The 21915-nt window shown below is 45.5% G+C and overlaps 3 non-coding genes across 3 annotated transcripts, besides 3 other annotated features; 1 reads left to right on the forward strand and 2 right to left on the reverse strand.

The window, feature by feature from the left end:
* Positions 1144-2343: an enhancer, noted in NCBI's record as "CDK7 strongly-dependent group 2 enhancer chr6:28725125-28726324 (GRCh37/hg19 assembly coordinates)". NCBI's record gives its function as "activates an origin of replication core promoter dependent on BRD2, BRD4, P300/CBP, MED14 and CDK7 cofactors, with strong dependence on CDK7, by STARR-seq in HCT116 cells {active_cell/tissue: HCT116}" and the evidence as "EXISTENCE:reporter gene assay evidence [ECO:0000049][PMID:35650434]".
* TRA-TGC6-1 (tRNA-Ala (anticodon TGC) 6-1) lies at positions 2160-2231 on the reverse strand. The gene has a single exon. It is a non-coding gene; the product is annotated as a tRNA-Ala (tRNA).
* On the reverse strand, positions 7393-7466 carry TRF-GAA6-1 (tRNA-Phe (anticodon GAA) 6-1). Its single transcript has one exon. It is a non-coding gene; the product is annotated as a tRNA-Phe (tRNA).
* Positions 7467-8182: 716 nt separating this feature from the next.
* On the forward strand, positions 8183-8259 carry TRF-GAA5-1 (tRNA-Phe (anticodon GAA) 5-1). The gene has a single exon. It is a non-coding gene; the product is annotated as a tRNA-Phe (tRNA).
* Positions 9192-9744: an enhancer, noted in NCBI's record as "H3K4me1 hESC enhancer chr6:28733173-28733725 (GRCh37/hg19 assembly coordinates)". NCBI's record gives its function as "activates a minimal SCP1, AML or CMV promoter by ChIP-STARR-seq in naive H9 embryonic stem cells {active_cell/tissue: H9 hESC(naive)}" and the evidence as "EXISTENCE:reporter gene assay evidence [ECO:0000049][PMID:30033119]".
* Positions 19746-20317: an enhancer, noted in NCBI's record as "OCT4-NANOG-H3K27ac hESC enhancer chr6:28743727-28744298 (GRCh37/hg19 assembly coordinates)". NCBI's record gives its function as "activates a minimal SCP1, AML or CMV promoter by ChIP-STARR-seq in naive H9 embryonic stem cells {active_cell/tissue: H9 hESC(naive)}" and the evidence as "EXISTENCE:reporter gene assay evidence [ECO:0000049][PMID:30033119]".

The raw sequence follows: 21915 nt of genomic DNA on the forward strand, positions 1-21915 counted from the left end.
TTCCTCCTCAGCAGGCGCCTGGCCCTGGACCACCTTCTTAAACCTCTAGAACAGTGCTTCTCAAACTTTAGCATCAGCGGCTGGGCGGGTGGCTCACTCCAGTAATCCCAGCACTTTGGGAGGCCGAGGCGGGCGGATCACGGGGTCAAGAGTTCGAGACAAGCCTGACCAACATAGTGAAACCCCGTCTCGACTAAAAATACAAAAATTAGCTGGGCATAGCGGCGCGCGCCTGTAATCCCAGCTACTTGGGAGGTTGGGGCAGAAGAATCGCTTGAACCCGGGAGGCAGAGATTGCAGTGAGCCGAGGTTGCACCACTGCATTCCAGCCTGGGCGAGAGGGCGAGACTCCGTCTCAAAAAACAAAACAAAACAACTTTAACATCAGAGTCACTTGAGGGCTTATTCAAACACAGGCGGCTGGACGCCACCCTCAGCAATTCTGACTCAATAGATCTGAGGTTGGGCCTGGAATTTGGCATTCCTCTTGTAGCACCCTGATCCCTCACCCCTTATTCTCCTGTGCAGTGTCCACTGTGACTAACATGCCACTATTTGCTTAAAGTGCCTGGAGAGAACCAGTGGATAGAAGGGAAAACAAGTATGAAACGAAAAGAAAATGTCTGCATTACCTTCCTTCAAACAAAAAAAAAAAATGTATCTTATAACGAACATATGGTTTGTCCCTGGGGCACACAACCAGTCTTCAGCTAAGCAGGTTTCACTAGACAATATCTCTCCTGTAGGCTGGTTATGGATATTTTCACTGAACAAAAGAATCGAGAAGTAAGGACAGCCTACCCTGACAGAGTGTTAGACTGGTGGACTGATGACAAACATCGTACTCTGTTGCCTCTCAAAGACACTTTTGATTCAACGGCAAACATATACACAGAGGACAGCAGTTTTGAAACATGCAGCATTGGAAACCCCTAAAAGGTGTCATCAGTAGATAGGATTTCCTGGAGTTCCCTCGTCATACAAAGCAGATGTGATAGGATTGACAAAGAAAAAAGAATTTTTTTTTTTTAATTAGAAGTGCCAACACACCTGCAATTTACTCACCTTTACTTTGCATCTATTTTCCATTGTGGCAGAAAAGCTTTCTCTACTTTTTCATATGGGGCCTCTGTTTGCTGTTAACAGAGGTTTCCAGGCAATGTTTTATGTTATGTTATATTTTATTTTATTTTGAGACGGAGGTTCTCTCTTGCTGCCCAGGTTGGAGTGCAATGGTGGGATCTCAGCAAACTGCAACCTCCGCCTCCCGGGTTCAAACGATTCTCCTGACTCAGCCTTTTGAGTAGCTGGGATTACAGGCGTGCGTCACCACGCCCGGCTAATTTTGTATTTTTAATAGAGACGGAGTTTCTCCATGTTAGTCAGGCTGGTCTCGAACTCCCGACCTCAGGTGATCGCCCCGCCTCGGCCTTCCAAAGTGCTGGGATTACAGACGTGAGCCACCGCGCCCGGACCTCAGTGTTTTATTTTAACGAGGAGAATGGAGTGACTGATGCAATACAGGAAAATGAATCAATCGTATGGACTATCAGTAGGGAATGTGTTGATCCTTATTGATTTCGCTCCTTCCGTGTTGAAGACCTCTAATTCCCCGACAGTCTTCGTTCGGTTGTCCAGCGTCCTGCCACTCTCATCTCAAGCGGCTGGAGAGCCACATTTTCTCAGCTTTGGATCGCACTTGTGGCTGTGCTCTCTGCGCAGTTCGACAGGGAGAGAAATCAGTGGACAGATGCTTTGACTCTGGATTTGGCTCAGAAAACAAAAACAACGACCAAAACGAAATGCCCGGGGGGCGGGGGGGGGCTTTTCTGCCTTTCTTCTTCTCAGCCTTTCCTTCTCTTTAATCATAGTACAAAACCGAAGCCAAAGTGAGCCGCCTGTTGATGTGCACGCTTTTGTTTGCTTTCAAGAGACCCTGTTGCGACCTCATTCTTCTTTCTCCTCTTCCTTCTGCCGTCGCAATCGCCTTAGGTGATGTTGAGGCTTACATTATAGAGATGGGAGATAAGTGAAGGCAATCCATTGGGTTACGTTTTTACTCTCTATACGTGCAGAAATAGGATAGAAAAAGGTGAGGAGGCAGAAGGCTATGTTGCTTGAGAATTACATTTAAGCACTGCCAGAGCAAAACCACCATTTGGAGGTGCCGGGGATCGAACCCGGGGCCTCACACATGCAAAGCATGTGCTCTACCACTGAGCTACACCCCCCTCCTGAAAGACTGTTTTGTAATAATTTTCAGGAGGTAACTTTCATTTTCTGAGACTGGCTCCGTGAGCATGCTGGTAGTAGTGGTTAGTATCATGGAGCGCCTTCAGCTGCTCTGAGTAGAAGATACTCGGTACTAATGAGGGGATACAGATTCTTTAGTATACTGTACAGGACTTGAAATGGAAAGCAAAGTATTAGAAAAGTGTCAGATAACCGCCAAAAGAAGTTTCCAATGTGGCTTTAAAACGTTGAGTTGTCAGGATCTCCTTCTTCTGTTATGCTTGGCAAGGAATCAAATTCTGGTTTTTCATTCTTTCGATTTCTTTCAGAGATGACGCAAAGTTATTGAAATTCAGCTTTTTCTTACCTAAAATGCTTCATATTTGTTGTTTACTCAGCCGGAATATTAAAGGTTAGATTTGATTGAGGAAAATCACAGTCAGAAGAAAACCTGAGAGCGATGCACTCAGCATTTCATCTTAAGGGTCTTTAGCTGGTGTGTTGTCCTGCGCCTGTACTCACAGCTATTCCAGAGGCTGAAGCAGGAGGATCACTTGACCTTGGGAGCTGGAGGCTGCAGGGAGCTATGATCACGCCACTGCACTCCAGCTTGGGTGATGGAGTGAGACCCTGTATCAAAATCAAAAAGAAAAGAAAAGAAAAATTTATAAGGTGTGAGTGAAACAACACCTCTAGGGATGACGAGAAGAGTTGAATTATGAGGGTGAGATAAAAAATAAGTAGAAACAGGATTTAAGAGGTACGGGGGAAAGTGGTTTAGAAAAACAAACAGGCTATTGCCAAACAGAAGGAGGTGTAGAAAAGGGGAGTTTTTAACAACTCTTTAAGGAATGGGAGAAAGATTGGAAGATGGAGAAGATAAGTTAGCTTGGCTCATGCTAAATTCGGTGTATCTGTGGGGCACACTGTGAGGATGTTACATGGAGAACTCAGGCAATTGACTCTCCAGCCTGGGGTTTGTGAGCATTAGTAGTAGTAGACATATTGCATAGAGGGTGGATAAAGACTAAAAAGGGTCCTTTTAGATTTGGGAATTACAAACCTATTCACGATATTTGTTTAAAAGAAAAAAAAGCCGGGTGTGGTGGCTCACGCCTGTAATCCCAGCACTTTGGGAGGCCAAGGCGGGTGGATCACCTGAGGTTGCAAGTTCGAGACCAGGCTGGCCAACATGGTGAAACCCTGTCTCTACTAAAAATACAAAAATTAGCTGGGTGTGGTGGTGCATTCCTGTAATCCCAGCTTCTCGGGAGGCTGAGGCAGGAGAATTGCTTGAACCTAGGAGGTGGAGGTTGCAGTGAGTGAGATCATGCCATTGCTCTCCAGCCTGGGCAACAAGAGTGAAACTCTCTCTCAAATAATAATAATAATAATAATAAAGTAAAAAAAAATTTTTTTTAAAGTTTGCTCCTCTATGTTCTTGAACCCTGGTATTTATTATTATTTATCATGATTAGGGCTGTGTTCTTTGAACTACATAAGAAGATGAGAAGAAAATCCATTTCCTGACACCAAATTTCTAGTGACTGTTAACTCTTTCTCATTCTGATTTACTCATATATGAGCCTTTGCCAACACTCATGAAATAACATTGATCCCTTGTAGAACTGGCAGAAAACAGCAGGTTATATGGCAGACTTGTCTTTTCGGTTGGCTGATGGAATTTCTAGAACAAAAATAGGAAGCACTGAATGCTAGGTTTCACTGAATAAGAAACAAGAGAAGTGTTACACACAAAACTAGTGTTTGTGTGTGTGTTTGACTGTCTGTGTGTGCATGTAAATGCTAGGGAGATAATCTTAGCTCTTTGATGCTGCAGAAGTAATATTAGGACAATTTGCAGAAACACTCCTTCATCATTATGTCATGTTGCACCCAGAGAAACCTGGATGTCTACTGGATTCTTGGGAATTCATCATAATATGAAGGTCTGCTTTTTTGTTTGCCTCTTGAAAAGGAGAGAATTTTAAATAATTAAATATCTGTAGCTCTCTTCTGACTAACAACAACACGACTGAAACACAGTTTTTTTTGTAAAAACTGTGGGATGAGCTTATTTAACACAGAATTCCTCTGAGGAATTAAACATTTAATCCTGAAGACAGAACACCCTCATGTGATACATACTCAATTCAGAAAACCTAAAAATATATAAAGTATCTGTTTAAACCTGCACTGTCCAATATGGTTACCATTAGCCACACTGGCTATTGAATGCTTGAAATTGCCCAGTCCAAGTTAAGAGTGTTGTAAGTGTAAAATACATATCAGATTTGGCCAGGCACAGTAGCTTGCGTCTGTAATCCCAGTACTTTGGGTGGCTGAGGTGGGTGGATCACAAGGTCAGGAGTTCGAGACCAGCCTGACCAACATGGTGAAACCCCATCTCTACTAAAAATACAAAAATTAGCCTGGCTTGGTGACACACACCTGAAATCCCAGCTACTTGGGAGGCTGAGGCAGGAGAATTGCTTGAACCTGGGAGGCTGAGGTTGCAGTGAGCCGACATCGGGCCACTGCACTCCAGCCTGGGTGACAGAGCGAGAATCCTTCGCAAAAAAAAAAAAAAAAAAAAAAAATATATATATATGTAAATATATATATACATACACACACCAGATTTCAAAGATGTGTAATACTATTTTTTAAATATAAAATATCTCACTAATAATTTTATAATTGATAGCTTCTTAAAATAAGTTTTTGGATATACAAAGTGATTTAAATATATTATTGAAACTGGACATAAAAGATAGCAACAACAAACACTGGGGACTATGGGGAGGGGTGGGAGGGAGGGCAGAAAGATTTGAAAAGCTACCTCTTGGGTACTATGCCTACTACCTGGGTGATGGGATCAATTGCACTCAAAACCTCATGCAATTTACCCAGCATCATGTAGTATACCCATGTAACAAACCTGCACGTGTACCCCCAAATCTAAAATAAAAATTGAAATTACATAAAAATATAAATATTGACTTTTTTTAATGCAACTACTGCAAAAGGTAACACTACAAAATGGCTGTCATTTAAAACTTGTATTATCTCTTGATTGGACAGAATTGTCTAAAGACAATGTTATCCATTTAGGTGCTGTTCTGGGAGAATCCCAGAAGCAGAGAACACGGAGCATGATCTGCCAGTAATTAAGTTTCATGCTGTGAGTGGACTTGACAGAATGCATTTCTATGCATGATCTCCTTTGATCTTTACAACATCCCATTTTACAAAATCATTATTAACATCATTTTTAAGCCATTGAATGGCAGACAAATCATGCTTGGAATTGCCCTAGGCCTTCCATTTCAACAGAATGTAAAGGAATCTTTACTGCGTTAGGCACAAAACATTCAATGTTACTGTTTGTCTAGTCAAATATTTCTTAATGGAGTAAAACACAAGCTTCTGAGTTGAGAAAGCCTCAGTGAAAGGATAAAGTACCTGATTCCCAGTTTCTGTACAGTCAATGTCCCTAACCCAAGGTTACTTCTCATTTGGTACTAATTTTCCTTTTGCAACTTGCTGCAGTTCTGATAGTGGAGTATTGTAGATTATTGTCTCCTCACAGGGTATGCAGAAGTTAGAGAAAAACAACACTGAAACTGAAGCAGTAATTTGAAAGAAAAAAAATCAAAATGACCAAAAAAAGACCTATTATCCCAACAGAGAATTTCAAGAGAGGAGTTGAAGTGAAAAAGGGAAAATGGGGCACATGCACCTGAGTCTTGACTTTGCTGCCCATTTGCTTTCATTTTCAGTATTCTAGAGCCCCTCATGAATGTTTGATAAAATAATTCATATAGAAATACATATATTTCTTTTTTCCTGGATACAAACATGGAAACAGCTTAAGATTTGGAAATTCTAGACAAGGTTGCCAGGCTAAAGAAATGTCTTCTCAGCAAGAAAATTTAGAATGTTCTTGTAATTGGGCCTGGTGCGATGGCTCCTGCCTGTAATCCAAGCACTCTGGGAGGCCTACCTAGGCAGGTGGATTGCTTAAACCTAGGATTTAAAGACCAGCCTGGGCAACACGGTGAAACCCACAGTCTACAAAAAAAATACAAAAAAAAAAAAAAAAAAAAATTTAGCCAGGCATGGTGGTGCTCGCCTGTAGTCCCATCTACTCAGGGTGCTGACATGTGGAGTCACTTCAGCCTAGAGAGGTTGAGGCTGTAGTGAGCTCTGATTGTATAACTGTACTCCAGCCTGGATGACAGAGTGAGACCCTGCTTAAAAGAAAGAAAAGAAAGAAGAAAGAAAGAAAGAAAGAAAGAAAGAAGAAAGAAAGAAAGAAAGAAAGAAAGAAAGAAAGAAAGAAAGAGAAAGAAAGAAAGAAAGAGAAAGAAAGAAAAAAAAAGTTCTTACAGCACTTTAATAATGGAGTTGACTCAAGATACAAACCCGGGTTTTTCTAATTTCAAAATGTTTCTTGCATACACCACACCCCCATATATATGCTCATACAGTATAATAGTTACTTCACTGTATGTTTCTTTTTTTCATATTTCTTGTGATTTAAAAATAACCCTCGCCCAATACATATAAATAATATCAAATCAAAAATGACTTGTAAATGCCACAGCATATAGCACGTTGGAATTTCTTAGGTTTTAAAACTAATAACTTCCTAAGTTTAAGACTTTAAATAAGGACGGGCTTAGTGGCTCACGCCTGAAATCCCAGCACTTTGAGAGGCCGAGGCAGGTGGATCACCTGAGGTCAGGAGGTCGAGACCAACCTGATCAACATGGCGAAACCCTGTCTCTACTAAAAATACAAAAATTAGCCGGGCATGGTTGCGGGGGCCTGTAATCTCAGCTTACTTGGGAGGCTGAGATATGAGAACAGCTTGAACTCAGGAGGCGGAGGTTGCAGTGAGCCGAGATCGCGCCGTTGCACTCCAGCCTGGGCGACGGAGTGAGACTCCGTCCAAAAACTTTAAATAATTTATGTAATGAGAGCACTTCATGGAAGACTTCAGTGGAATATACAAAGGAGAGAGTGATACAAACATGTACATTACCTTTATCAGACTTTCAAAAACTCCCAAAAATTGGAGATATGTAAGCTTCTGGGATTGGCGTATAAGTGCTGTATAAGGGAGTGATAATTAGGCAGAACTCAAAAGATGCTGGCTGAAACCCAGGGTTGAACCAGGGAACTTTAAGATCTTCAGTCTAACGCTCTCCCAACTGAGCTATTTCAGCTACTCTAAGCACACACCCTTAGTCATTTCTTCAAAATATAAAAACGTCATTTGTAGAGTGAGTGTATTTTCTAATGCCTAATTCTGTTTTGTTCAATATCAATACAAAAATTAGCCAGGGGTGGTGGTGCGCGCCTGTAATCCCAGCTACTAGGGAGGCTGAGGCAGGAGAATTGCTTGAACCCGGGAGGTGGCGGTTGCAGTAAGCCGAGATCACGCCACTGCACTCCAGACTGGGCGATAGAGGGAGATTGTCTAAAAAAAATAAATTAAATAAATAAAATAAGTGACAGGAAAAGAAAGAAAAGAAGGATCTCTTATGTCCTCCAGTACATTCTATCTCTTCCTTAGAGTTTTTAAAATTGTGGTCTCCACACTGGTGCATAACAACTCTTTTTTGTTGTTGTTTTCGAGACAGGGTCCCGCTCTGTTGCGTGGGCTGGAGTGCAGTGGTGCAATCTCGGCTCGCGGCAACTTCTGCCTCCCCGGCTCAGTGGATCCTCCCACTTCAACGGAGGGAGAGGGAGTCTCGCTCTGTCGCCCAGGCTGGAGTACAGCGGCGCGGAGTAGCTGGGATTACAGGCGCGCGCCACCACCCCTGGCTAATTTTTGTGTTGATATTGAACAAAAAAGAATTAGGCATTAGGAAATACGCCCACTTTACAAATGAAGATTTTTATATTTTGAAGAAATTGCTAACGGCACGTGCTTAGAGTAGCCAAAATTGCTCAGTTGGGAGAGCGTTAGACTGAAGATCTAAAGGTCCCTGGTTCGATCCCGGGTTTCACCAGGTTTGTTTGGTTTTTTTAGTTCTGCCTAATTATCACTCCCTTATACAACACTTGCACGCCAATCCCAGAAGTGTATATATCTCAATATAAATTCTTACGTTAAGTCAAAAGTGTAAAAACATTGAACTTCTCTGGTTAGACATAGGAACAAATTCAGATGTTTACAGAATTTCGGAAACAACCCTCTCTGGAATGAGAAAATTGCTGAGGCCGACGATGATTTGCAAACTGAATTTTAATAAAACCTTTTCTATGTCTTAACAGTTTTCAAACTCAATCTCCTGAGAGTCGAGGCTTTCTATTTTTAGCCAAAATACGGTGGGAGGGTCAATTAGGATATATTTTTCAATTATTTCCTCAAAAAAAGTTTTAGATTCTCTTACAGACTTTTTTCTCCCCTTGTAAGGTCTGAGCCTTCTCAGACAGGAAACAACATTCCTCTACTCTAGTTTTATCCCCGCCACGCGTCTCTCCCCAGCTGAGTGCAGCCTCAGCCTATGGTGCAAAAATGTTTAAAGCTGAGCATACAGAGAAGGAAAAGAAGAAAAAAAAAATAGAAAGTGATGTGGAAAGATCTACATATGAATCACAACACAGTGTTTAAAATGTGCGTAAACGGGTCTAGGAGTGCGCTGCACTATTGTGAAAAGTTCATTCTGAAAGCTGGGCGCAGTGGCTCATGCCTATAATCTCAGAACTTCGGGAGGCCGAGGCGGACGGATCACTTGAGATCAGAAGTTGGAGACTATCCTGGTGAAAATGGTGAAACCCCGTCCCTACTAAAAATACAAAAATTAGCCGGGCGTGGTGGGGGGCTCCTGTAATCTCAGCTAATCGGGAGACTGAGGCAGGAGAATCGCTTGATCCCAGGAGGTGGAGGTTGCAGTGAACCGAGATCGCGCCACTGCACTGCAGCCTGGGCGACAGAGCGAGACTCCGTCTCAAAAAAACAAAAACAAAAAACAAAAACAAAAGCAAACAAAAAACAAAAACAAACAAACAAAAAGTAAACGGGAGGAGCCGAGCGCCAGCTTGCGGGGAGACGGAAGAGGCGGGGTGCCGTGAAGTGGAGGAAGCAAAGGACAAAAGGGAGAGAGGTAGAGGGCAAGGAAAAGCATCCTCAAGATTATTAGTACTTGGATAGACTGGATGGTAGAGTGAGTCTGATCGCCACATCTCTCCGTCCCTTCCTCTGGATAGGAGGGAAGAGAGGTTCCTTTTTGTCCCTAGGGGGGTAGGCTCGACCAGGAAGGGGACCTGGTTCGTTTCGCCCAGGCTGGCACGGCTTCAAGAGCGCCTCACCTCTCTTTACGTTGCTGGACAGACCAGTTGAGCTCTTTGGGTATGCACGTAATGTCGCATTTTTATTTTCAGTTCAGGAAATGCTGATATTGGAGCTTCTGAGGGAGCTGCAGTGATTTCCCGATTTCCTGCGCGCCTGTGTGGAAAGTTAGAAGCGGAATCTACCGGCAGCTTTGAGACTAAGCATGACGGTGGAAACAGCTAATTTTATTAGCTTTTGTCTGAAATGCAAAAGATGAGAAAGAAAATTCCCGTTTGTTTGCTCCACATACTTCTCTTAGAAGCCTATGGAAAGCCAACTTTCCCCCTGAAGAAACTCCTCCTGGCATTTGCAAAGAGCTCCTTTACTCCTCTTGTCCAGCTCTTCTCTCAAAAGGACTCTGCAGAGCTGGACAGCGGCTGCGGAAAGGCGAAGTTGTTGTACCCGAGCGAGTTAGAGAAATGCCACACTTTGAGACGAATTTAAGAGTCCTTTATTAGCCGGCGACCAAAAGAGGACTAACGCTCGATATTCTCTCGGCCCCGAGGAAGGGGCTTGATTTTCCTTTATACTTTGGTTTAGAAAGGGGAGGGGGAGCTTAGTTGCAGCAATTCTACAGAAGTAAAAGCATGCAAAAAAATTAAAAAGACAAATGGTTACAGGTAAACAAACAGTTCCAGGTGCAGGGGCTCTAAATCTATCATAAGGCATTAGGTATGGGGGTTCTGCCAGACACAAACTCAAGGCTTTATGGTGTTATCTCTTGAGTGAAATCCTGGGAACTTCGTGCATTGTTTGCTTCAGTACCTTATCAGTTAATTGGACTCTGATATGTTGAGAGTCAGCTTACACAAGTTAACTGCTTGAGGAAGGGGGTGGGTAAGGAGTCCTTGATGTTTTGTAAATGAAGGAGCCAAATGGAGTTCGTCCAGCTTTCTCAGCTAAGGGACAGCCTATTCATGTGGAAATAAGGCTAGGTGATTAACGGAGAGTCTAAAAACAACGTTAGGTATTACATTCCCCACTTGTGTTTTTGGGGAATCAAATCGTTGATTCCTCAGTTATAATAAGGGGGTCATATTGAGTTCTAAGATACATAAATTTGACAGAAGCTATGCGTTGTTTTACAAAGTTAAGAAACTAATTTAATATACACGGCCTGAAAATTAAGCTTAATAGTAGGATGAGGAGGGGTCCAACTAACCTAGTGACTAGAGTAGTTAGCCATGGATTCCAGTTAAACATGCTTTGATACCAGGGGATGTTATTTTCTCTTTCTTGTTGGCATCTATCTAGATTTTCTCGAACCTTTTGGAGAGTATCTTTTATGACTCCAGACTGATTGGCATAGAAGCAACAACTTTCTCCTAGAGCTGCGCATAAACCTCCTTGAGAGAGGAATAGTAGATCTAAGCCTCAGCGGTTTTGAAGAACTACTTCAGCTAGAGACTCTACCTGGGAATGTAACAAATCTACGACAGACTGGAGGTTACTTAAATTAGCATCTACCTGTTGAGATAGGGCCATTATTCCAGTTTCTCCTTGAACTAGGGCTGCTGATCTGGCTATGCTAAGGCTGGCCAAGAAGGGAACTAGGAGCAGGGCAGCTAGCGAAACCTGGGATCTAACTCAGGGGGAGAAATGAGAAGTTGTCCTTCTGGTCCACTGTACACGTATACCCAGGGAAGTACATGAACTTACATGCACAGGAGAGGTCCTGGTTCAGTTCCATTAATGCAGTGAGTGAGACTTGAAGTGCAGGCCAACCAGGTATTGTTAGGCACTTGGTAAGAGACTGAGGTGCTTATGGAAGTAAGCAGGGACTGATTACAAGTAGTCTGAAAGGGAGAAGCAGATAAGTTATACCCGGTACTAATTAGACAAGAAGCGTTTCCAGACACATCCCTTAGTGTGAGGGCACAGGGTCGTGCACGACAAGATAAAGGGCCACTTTTAAGTGTGGCCTCTACTCCTAAGCCTACATAATAAGGGGGTTTTGCTTTTAGACATAGCCAACAATCTTGGGCTAGTTTAGGCTGGGTGAGGTTAAGAAGGTGATGTACCCTGCCTAGTATGGACATCAGGCTGTGTTGAAGATATTGTTGCTGCAGCTGGGGTTTAGGAACTAGGAATGGTGGCGGAACAGTTAAATCGACCTTGTCAGGGTGTTTTTGGAACATAGGGTCGCCTAGATCAGTTAAAGGCCTGATTGGCTTGGGTGGGCTCCATGAGACCAGGATTTTCTTCTGGATGGCGAACATAGTCTTAACATCAAATCCTGGGATATAAAGCCTTAATCCTTATGACATGCCATAATACCATCGAGCTGAATTAGGGTCATGGACAGTTATAGTAAGAGGATTACAATTTTTTCTAGTACACAATCTAGGATGGGAAGCACGACTTATGGAAAGAGTTGAAGATCCGGTTGATCTCCCAGAGTTAAGTGTCTAAAGTTACACGTGTCCAATCAGGGCAGAAAAACTGGTAAATATCTCAACAGCTAGAGTCAGGGTGATTTCCAGGACAGAGGTAAAAGTCAACATTCTGAAGTCCTTTTTCCGCACCTTTGGAGCTCCCACATCCAGTCTGGCTCCCGGAGTGTCCAAATCCTGCCAAAAGGTCAACGCTTCCTGCCCCCTTGACTGTCAGATTGTGTTACTCTTTGTAGGTACGGGCTGGTTCTGGGAACAGTGCACATAAATCAACTGCAAAGGAGACTTCCTTGGAGGTTCCTGCCCTCCAAGTACTGTTTGCGAATATACGTCTTGTCATGAAATAGGTGAGAAGAAGGGAATAGGAAGGTGCAGAGGACATGACAGGCAAAAACCAAAAAGAGAAGTAAATAAAAAGAATTAATCTAATGGCTTCACCCGACTTAGGCACAGTTTTAAGGGGCCTGACCCAGGCTTGGGGACCTATGTTTCTTGCTGGGCTTTGTTGGCCTTTTTGATGCGGGAGTGACGAATCCAAGCAGGAATGCCATCCACCTTCAGAGCTGTTGGCATGGTGAGGATGACAGTATGAGGTCCTATGTAAGCAGGAGTGAGTCCTTCTCTCTGGAACTTTTTAACAAACACCAGGTCACCTGGCTGGAATGAGTGGCAGGGCCCCATCTGGTCAGGAACCGGATTGGGATGGGCTCCTCGGAAAAGTGGCTGGATGATATCTTGTACCTGTTGGAGAGACTTTAGCTACTGTAATAAATTAGCTTGTGATATTTCTGCCAAATTGGTATCCCTTAGCTTAGGCAAGATAGGTGGAGCCTTCCTATACATGATTTCAAAATGTGAAAACCTAGCCCAGTAAGGAGTGCACCTTACTCTAAGAAAGGCTAAAGGAAGGAGCCTTACTCAGTTCTCACCGGTCTCTAAGATTAACTTTGTAAGAGTGCTTTTTAGGGTGCGGTTCATGCGTTCTACCTGCCCAGAGCTCTGGGGTCGATAGGCACAATGGAGCTTCCATTGAATGTGTAATGCCTTACTGACTGACTGAGCTATGGACGAGGTGAAGGCCAGTCCGTTATCAGACCCTATGGCAGCAGGCAGCCCATGTCGAGGGATGATTTCATTGAGTAAAAACCTAACTACCATGGTGGCAGTCTCATTCTTGGTGGCAAATGCCTCAGTCCATACGGAGAAGGTGTCTACTAGTACTAGAAGGTATTTGTACCTAGCCCGGTGTGGTTTTATTTCTGTAAAGTCAACTTCCCACCTTTCTCCTGGCAAGTTTCCTCAAAGACGGTGGCCTGGGCTGGGTTTAGCACCTTGCTTGGCGTTTACCTGGGCACAAGTTGTACACCGGAGAGCTGCTTGATCTGCTAAGCTTTGAAGATAGGGAATCTTAAAATGGCTCTAGAGGAGCCGGGCCAGTTTTGCTCCTCCTAAATGGGTGGTAGAATGCAGGCGACTGATTAAAGTTTCCCCGAGAGAGCTCGGGGTATGAAGATTCTGGAGTCAGGAAGAATCCACCAACCTTCCTGATTTTTATTGGCCCTGAGATCTGAAGCTAGTTTTTTTTCTTCCGTTGAGTACGCGGGATTGTAGGGCAGATCTGGCTGTGGAAAGGAGACTGTGGGTAATAAGTTTAGAGGCATGACTGGAAGTCTGGCTGCATCCCGGGCCGCTGAGTCAGCTTTCTGGTTACCACGGGCAATGGCCGTGTTTTCTCCTGGATGTCCTTTGCAGTGGATTACAGCCACCTGCTGAGGGAGCCATACGGCTTCAAGCAGGGCTAGAATTTCTTCTTTGTTTTTGATAGTCTTTCCTGCTGAGGTGCCCACGCTCCTGATAGATGGCTCCATGTACATGTACAGTAGTTAAAGCATACCTGCTGTCAGTGTAAATGTTAATAAGTTTATCCTTACCCCATCGGAGAGCCTGAGTGAGGGCGATCAATTCAGCTTTTTGTGCCGAGGTATTTGCCGGTAAAGCCTGGGCCCATAGCACATCTGTCTTTGTAGTAATGGCTGCACCAGCCTTTCGTACTCCCTGTTTTGAGAAAGCTGCTACCGCCTGTAAACATGGCGGCGTCCACCTTCTTTAGGGGCACATCTTGGAGATCAGGTGGGCCAGTTTCTGTAGTTTCTAACAGTTCCTGGCAGTCATGGACAGGTGTAGTGAAGTCTGGATCAGGGAGTAAAGTAGCTGGATTTAAACACCTTCTGGGAGAGAAAGTCAAACGAGGCTGATCTAACAGTAAACTCTGATACTGCAGGATGCGAGCATTTGACATCCATTTGCCAGAAGCACTTCGTAATAAAGTCTCTACGGCATGAGGAGCGGTAAAGGTTAAATTTTGACCTAGAGTTAACTTATCAGCCTCTTAGACTAGGCTTGCTGTTGCCACTATGACTCGCAGACAAGTTGGCCATCCAGAGGCCACAGGATCCAGCCTCTTAGACAAATAGGCCACTGGGCATCTCCAGGGTCCTAAAGTCTGAGTAAGCACCCCCTTAGCAACTCCCTGGCTTTCGTGGACAAACAGGTGAAACGGCTCTGGGATATTTGGGAGGGCTGGAGCAGGGGCTTCAGTTAATGCCTTTTTCAGATTTTGAAAAGCCTGTTCTTCTGTGTCCATCTAAACTAGCCGGCTATTCCCTCCTGTAGCAGTGTACAGGGGCTTCGCAATCTCCGCGAACCCCGACATCCATAGGCGACAGTATCCTACGGCCCCCAGGAATTCACGTACCTGTCTCTTGGTGGTGGGAGTGGGGATTCGTAGGATGGCTTCTTTCCGGGCACTGGTGAGTGCCCTTTTTCCTTGGCTTATGTCGTATCCTAGGTAGGACACTGTGGGAAGACAAAGCTGGACCTTCTTGGCTGAGACTCGATACCCGAGCTCCTGAAGGAGGTAAAGTAGGTCCCTAGTATGTTGCAGGCAACTGTCTTTAGTTTCAGTAGCTAATAAAAGGTTGTCCACCTACTGAAGAAGAGTACAGTTAAGGTGACTAGCTTGGAATGGTATAGGATCCTGCTGGAGGGCCTCTCCAAAAAGGGTGGGGGAATTTTTAAAACCTTGAGGTAACTGAGTCCAAGTCAATTGGGTAGTGTCTCCTGAGCTAGGATCTGTCCATTCAAAAGCAAAGATCAGTTGGCTCTTGGGGGCCAGAGAAATAGCAAGGAAGGCATCCTTTAGGTCAAGGACAGTGTATATACTGTAAGTTCTGGCGGGAGCAGGTTGAGTAGAGTATAAGGATTGGGGACAGTTGGATGGACAGTAACAGTCTGTTTGTTAACTTCCCTTAAGTCCTGTACCGGCTGGTAATCATTCGTTCCGGGTTTCTGGACCGGCAAAAATGGAATATTCCAGGCGGACTGACACGGTGTGAGTATGCCAGCTTGTAACAGTCATTGAATATGGGGATTAATCTCCTGTCTAGCCTGCTGACTCATAGGATATTGCTTTACCTGGACAGGCAAGGCAGTGGCCAGGAGTTCTACAACCACTGGTGGATGGTGTTTAGCCAGTCCTGGGGGGTTTGACTGGCCCAAACTCTGGGAAAGAGTGTCTGTAAGTCCAACAGGAGAGGATTAGTATTATTTTCCAGTGGTTGTGATGGTGACACTAAAAGATTTTCCTCTGACAGAGGGGTAGTTAGCAGGAGTTGGGCAGTGGGGGGCGCTGTATTTCCTAGCATGACGTTAGCCTGCTGGGCTGAGAAGGAGATAGAGGCCTGTAACTTATGGAGCAGATCTCCTCCGAGGAGAGGAAAAGGACACTCTGGAACCACAAGAAATGACTGTCTCACTCTTTTCTGTCCCAAGCTCACTTCTCGTGAGTGTGTGACAGGATATTCCTGAATAGCTCCAGTAGACCTTTGTACAGCCACTCTTTTATTAGAGACACTGCCCAAGGGGGTCTGTAGTACCGAGTGCTCCGCCCCGGTAGCTACTAGGAAGCGTACAGGCTGGCCCCTCACTGTAGCGGTCACCGTGGGCTCCTGGGGGCCAAGAGAGAGGGAGTCCTGGCTCCATCAGTCATCAGACTCTTCCGTTGCGGGGAGGGTGAGGGCCTTTTTCTTTTCTGATTTTTCCTCTGGCCGTAGTGGGCATTCCTTTTTCCAGTGCCCAGTCTGCTTGCAATAAGCACATTTGTCCTTTTCTAGGGGAGCCTGTTCTCCTCTTTTGCCCTTCTGGTAGGGACCTGAGGTTCCCTGGCTATTCCTCTGTGATGGGGGCCTTCCCTTCTTGACCTCTCCGATGGCCGCAGCTAAGATTTTTGCTTGTCTTTTGTATGCTTTATCAGCTGCTGCCTGTGCTGTTTGTTTTCTTTTTTCAAACTCTCGATTGTCAAAAACTTTTTGGGCTATCTCTAAAAGCTGAGTGATATTCATCCCAGGAAATCCCTCCAGTTTTTGGAGTTTTCTTTTAATATCAGGGGCTGCCTGAGCCACAAATGCCAAATTAAGAGCACGGCTATTTTCGGGAGCCGCCGGGTCAAAAGAGGTGTAAGTCCGATAGGCCTCCTGGAGGCGTTCTAAAAACGCTCCCGGTGACTCATCAGGCCCTGTGCGACTTCAGTCATCTTAGACAAGTTTATGGGTTTCTGAGCAGCTCCTTTGATACCTGCAAGGAGATACCGGTGAAAATCGTCCAAAGCTTTCTTCCTACCCGAGGAATTCGTGTGCCAGTTAGGCCGGGTAGAGGGAAAGACCTCCTCAAGAAAGTCTCTAGCTTCCTCCTCTGGCCTATTGGCTGATGTGAGGAAATACTTTCTGGCCTCTCTTCGGATATGTTCCCTCTCTTCAGAGGTAAAAAGGGTCAAAAGGAGCTGCTGACAGTCATCCCAGGTGGGCCGATGGGTCCGGAGCACAGACTCCATCAGTGAGATCAAGACCTGGGGCTTTTCAGAGAAGGGAGGATTATGAGCCTTCCAGTTACAGAGGTCAGAAGGAGAAAAAGGGACATAAACCAAGAATGGGGCTGAGCGCTCATCACCCGGAGGGACTTGTGCTTCTTTCCGCGGTAGAGGGGGGGCTACTTCCTCCTGCCGCGGCCGCAATCGAGAGGCAATAGGCGGCGAGCCTACAGGGGATGTAGTCGAGGAGACAAGGGAAGATTCTAAGGGAGCAGGACGGTTATAAGGCGGCGGAACTGAGTGGGGGAGACTCTCCTCTTCTTCAGAGGGAGGCAGTACAGGGTGAGCCGAACAGACTGAGGGTCCAGGCGGAAGTGCGGTCTGGCTCAAAACGACCTTGGAGGCAGAATTATGAATGGCGCATGAGCGGAGCCATGGTGGGGAGCTTCTGACCAAACTCAGCCATTGATCAATGTGGGGAAACTGATCGGGGTGGCCGGGAGTTCCAGCAACAACCCGCCACACAGCCTGAACAATTGCTAGGTTCAGTGACCCTACTGGGGGCCATCCGACTCCAAACTTTGGCCATTCTACTTCGCAGAGTGTCCGGAGTTTGCCTTTTTAAAGGCGGACCCCATAATCCTCTGAGAAGCCTAGAGAAAAATTCTGCAGCATACATTGGAGGGGGCTCCAATCCTTACAGGGCCGGGAAGAGGAGTTTCCCATTTTTGGAGGCAGTTTGACAAGGTTTGAGCAGGGATATCAAACCCAGCACGGACAGAAAAACTCATTCCCTAGGGGGCTGGAGTATCGGAAGAACAGAATTAACATAACCAGAAGGAGCCGAAAGACAACAATAGCTCACACTACTTGCCACAGGACGGTTAACTAGCTTTAAGATTGAGGGAGGTCGGGCGCAGTGGCTCACGCCTGTAATCCCAGCACTTTGGGAGGCTGAGGCGGGCGAATCACGAGGTCAGGAGATCGAGACCATCCTGGCTAACACGGTGAAACCCCGTCTCTACTAAAAATACAAAAAATTAGCTGGGTGTGGTGACGGGTGTCTGTAGTCCCAGCTACTTGGGAGGCTGAGGCAGAAGAGTGGCCTGAACCTGGGAGGCGGAGCTTGCAGTGAGCTGAGATCGCGCCACTGCACTCCAGCCTGGGCGACAGAGAAGACTGTCTCAAAAAAAAAAAGAATAATTATCCAAGATTGAGGGAGGAGGACTAGAGGCCAACCTTAGGTCTCCTTGGCTGGATGGACCTAGGCGTCCTCCCTCTTTCCCTGGACCTGTAGCCTAAATACTTTTGGTGTCTCCACGACTCAAAGGCAAATAGCTCAAATTCGGCCTTTTCTTTTAAGAGTTTGAGGAGTGAGAGCAGAGCCAAGTCCTGGAGACGCTGAACTTGCTGTGACACGGGAAAACGAGATGTACGGGGTAAGTGGTAGGGATGAGGAGGAAAAAGGGCCACTCGGATCTTTCCTAGGGTAGGAGAGTAGCCACAGAGGAATAGAATAAGGGTTTAAACGAAGTAAAGTGGTACGGGCGTAGGTTTCTCTGCACAGTGCCGTATTTAAGGGCACAGAAAAAGTTACGGGATGACAAAAGAGGTGAGCAAGGAGGTCTGCAGGGTGGCTATTTTGAACCTACCACCGGTTTAGTCTGGAGGTGGCCCAGTCACTTGGACATGGGGTATGACAATCTAAATGCCAGCAATCTTCATGGTGCCAGAAATCCCAAACAGGCGAATGTTCCTCACACTCGTTCCCGTTCCCGTAACAACACCTGATTTGTTTCTGACAGAAAAGGCAGGACTGGGATGGCCAGCCTAAGCGATTGATGAGAAATTTAACCTCCTGTGATAAAAAATCAACACTAAAGACCTTGAAGAAGTTCCTGCCCAGACGTCTTGGGCAGTATCGATGACCTGACATACGAAACTTTGACAACCACTAAACAGGACAATAGACACCGAGCAGGACAACAAACACAAAACAAACAATAGACCCTTGGGTATATAAACAATTATGGTAGGTTTTTATTAGACAGACAAGGGGAGGGGGTCCCATGATGGGATCAGTCAGATGCCTGCCTGGCCGCTCCCCCTGAGGGGACTTGGGCTTCTCTTAGCATTGGCAGGCAGGTATAAACCCCCGGCTCGGATGGAGCTATGCCCGATGCTGCCTTAAGCCTTATGAGGTCGCCACGGAACGGCAGGTGAGGGCCCACTCGAACTCCGTAGCTTTCGCCGTGGAGCTACAAACTGGGGATCCAGAGGCAGGCCCCTGGACTCCTCAGTCGTGCACACATTCACAAAGAGTTTATAACAATTTTTGTTATTTCCCGTTCTAAACAAAGGTCCCAGAAGACCTGAACGAGAGGAGGAGAAGAGATAGAGCAAGGGGGAGAGAAAGAAAAAGAGGAGGAGAGAGTGAGAGACTAGTCTTAATGGAGAGGCCGGCCTGCCAGAAACCAGGGCTCTATCCTCCAGCGTCCTGGAGTATGGATAGAGTCAAAGAGAGGGACACCGTCGTCAGGGCTGCCTCCCTCTCACCAAACCAGAACCAAAAGGCGCCTAACAGAAAAACCAGGGCTCTGTCCTCCAGCGCCCTGGAAAAGCGGGCAGTGTCAAAGACAGGGATGCCCTCGTCAGGGCTGCCTCCCTCTCACCAAACAGAAGTCAAATCTAACTTACCTGACCCCGGGGTCAGAAGCTGAGGACTCAGAGGTTGAATTTTGTGGGCACACACACACGGTAGTCGATCCGCTGTCCTCCGGAAGACGGTCGCCTTTCGGGGACCTGGAAAATTTTTTTTCAGGTGGCTCCTCGCCTATAAGCCGGCCGTCCCTCCGGGGGAGCCCGGAGCTAGCCCGGCTCTCGCCCAGTGGCGAATATATCTCGCTGGGGCTTCCAAATGTTGTACCCGAGCGAGTTAGAGAAACGCCACACTTCGAGACGAATTTAAGAGTCCTTCATTAGCCGGCGACCGACAGACGACTAACGCTCGAAATTCTCTCGGCCCCGAGGAAGGGGCTTGATTTTCCTTTATACTTTGGTTTAGAAAGGGGAGGGGGAGCTTAGTTGCAGCAATTCTACAGAAGTAAAAGCATGCAAAAAAATTAAAAAGACAAATGGTTACAAGGAAACAAACAGTTCCAGGTGCAGGGGCTCTAAATCTATCATAAGGCGTTAGGTATGGGGGCTCTCCCGGACACAAACTCAAAGCTTTATGGTGTTATCTCTTGAGCGAAATCCTGGTAACTTCGTAAATTGCTTGCTTCAGTACCTTATCAGTTAATTGGACTCTTTGATATGTAAGAGTCAGCTTACACAAGTTAACTGCTTGAGGAAGGGGGTGGGTAAGGAGTCTTTGACGTCTTGTAAATGAAGGAGCCAAAAGGAGTACTTCCGGCTTTCTCAGCTAAGGAAGAGCCTATTCATGTGGAAACAAGGCTAGGCGATTAAGGGAGAGTCTAAAAACAAGGTTAGGTACTACAAAGTCGCGGTAAAATCGGTGTTAACTACGTGTGCAGCCACCTTTTCCTTAGTGCTATTCCTGAAGGAAATAATGTATACAGTGATCTATTTCCAAGACAAAGTGCCTTAAATTGGCTTAGGTCAGCAAAGTACAGAAGAAACAGGGTATACTAGGTCCCTGCTTGGATAGCGGATGCCTGCTTGTCGCCCCCCTCTTTCCTCCCCCTTCCCATCCCCCATCCTTGGTGGCCTTCACCCAAACAAAAACAGTTTAGTCTAAGATATAAGTTTACTAGTCTGCAAAATAGCTCACTTTGTCTGTTCTTATCAGCCTGCCCAGCTACTTAGGTCATAAGTCAAACACTTAAAGAGCCCTTGAGCTAACCAGGATTGCAATGCATTGTGGGCTGCAACAAAATGCAGCAAGACAACCCTAAAAAAGAGACACCTAAAGCCTTTGCCTAACAATCAGTAGGCAAACGCCGAGAAAATTGTAACCCCATAGCACTCAGCCTATGAGGAACCTGGGGAGGGACTTGCGCACTAGGGGACAAATTGCTTGTTGAAACTGTTCTGGGTGTGCCTGCACGCCAGACACCCGATCTTGATCTCTCAAGACCGTCATTAAAAGTCTCACTTTCGCTGTTCTCCGGGTCTCTGAGTCCATTCTTTGGGTTTAGATGGATGAGTTTATTTTCTCACATAACAGCTGCAGAGGTGGTACAGGTGAATCCCTCTCAAGTCAAGTGGGTTAACCTCAAAATTGACTTAAGGGGTGGTTTGTGATCGCCTGGTAGATGGTGGACGGTTACAGCTTTTAGAAAGTGAGTAAAAGAGATGATGCATACAGAAGCCCCACTGGGTTGCTTAGCTTCTGCACATGGAGAAAGAGGCTGCTTTTCTGCCTTCTAGGTGTTTAGTAACTTAATTTTTAATCCTTTGATGAAATAGAGTGGAAAATAAAAGGAGATTTTCTTTTAACAAAATAGTGTTAAGATGCTTGCCAAGTATCCCCCTGTGAATTTCTGCTTAGCACTGTGATATCAGAATTAGAAATTGTGCAGGGTTCTAATCTGGAGATATGGGATGTTCAGTAGCTAAGAAGGAAGTTATTCCTTGAAAGTAAGTACAGTGAGGTAGAAAAGGATCCATTGGGATTGGGAGAATAAAAGTTCATTATTTTTATTTATTAAAAAAAACAAAACAAAACAAAGAAATGAGGTTTTGGCTGGGTGCAGTGGCTCACGCCTGTAATCCCGGCACTTTGGGAGGCCAAGGTGGGCAGATCACGAGGTCAGGAGATTGAGACCAGCTTGGCCAACATGGTGAAACCCCATCTCTACTAAAAATACAAAAAATTAGCCAGGCGAGGTGGCAAGTGCCTGTATTTCCAGCTATTCAGGAGGCTGAGGCAGGAGAATTGCTTGAACCCAGAAGGCGGAGCTTGCAGTGAGCCAAGATCGCTCCACTGCAGTCCAGCCTGGGCAACAGAGTGAGACTTCATCTCAAAAAAAAAAAAAAAAAAAAAAAAAAAAAAAAAAAAAAAAGAAAGAAAGAAAAAAGAAAAAAAAAAGAAGAAACGAGCTTCTACCCTAGAT

Source organism: Homo sapiens, chromosome 6 (genome assembly GCF_000001405.40).
Source record: "Homo sapiens chromosome 6, GRCh38.p14 Primary Assembly".
In the NCBI taxonomy this organism is placed as follows: domain Eukaryota; kingdom Metazoa; phylum Chordata; class Mammalia; order Primates; family Hominidae; genus Homo; species Homo sapiens.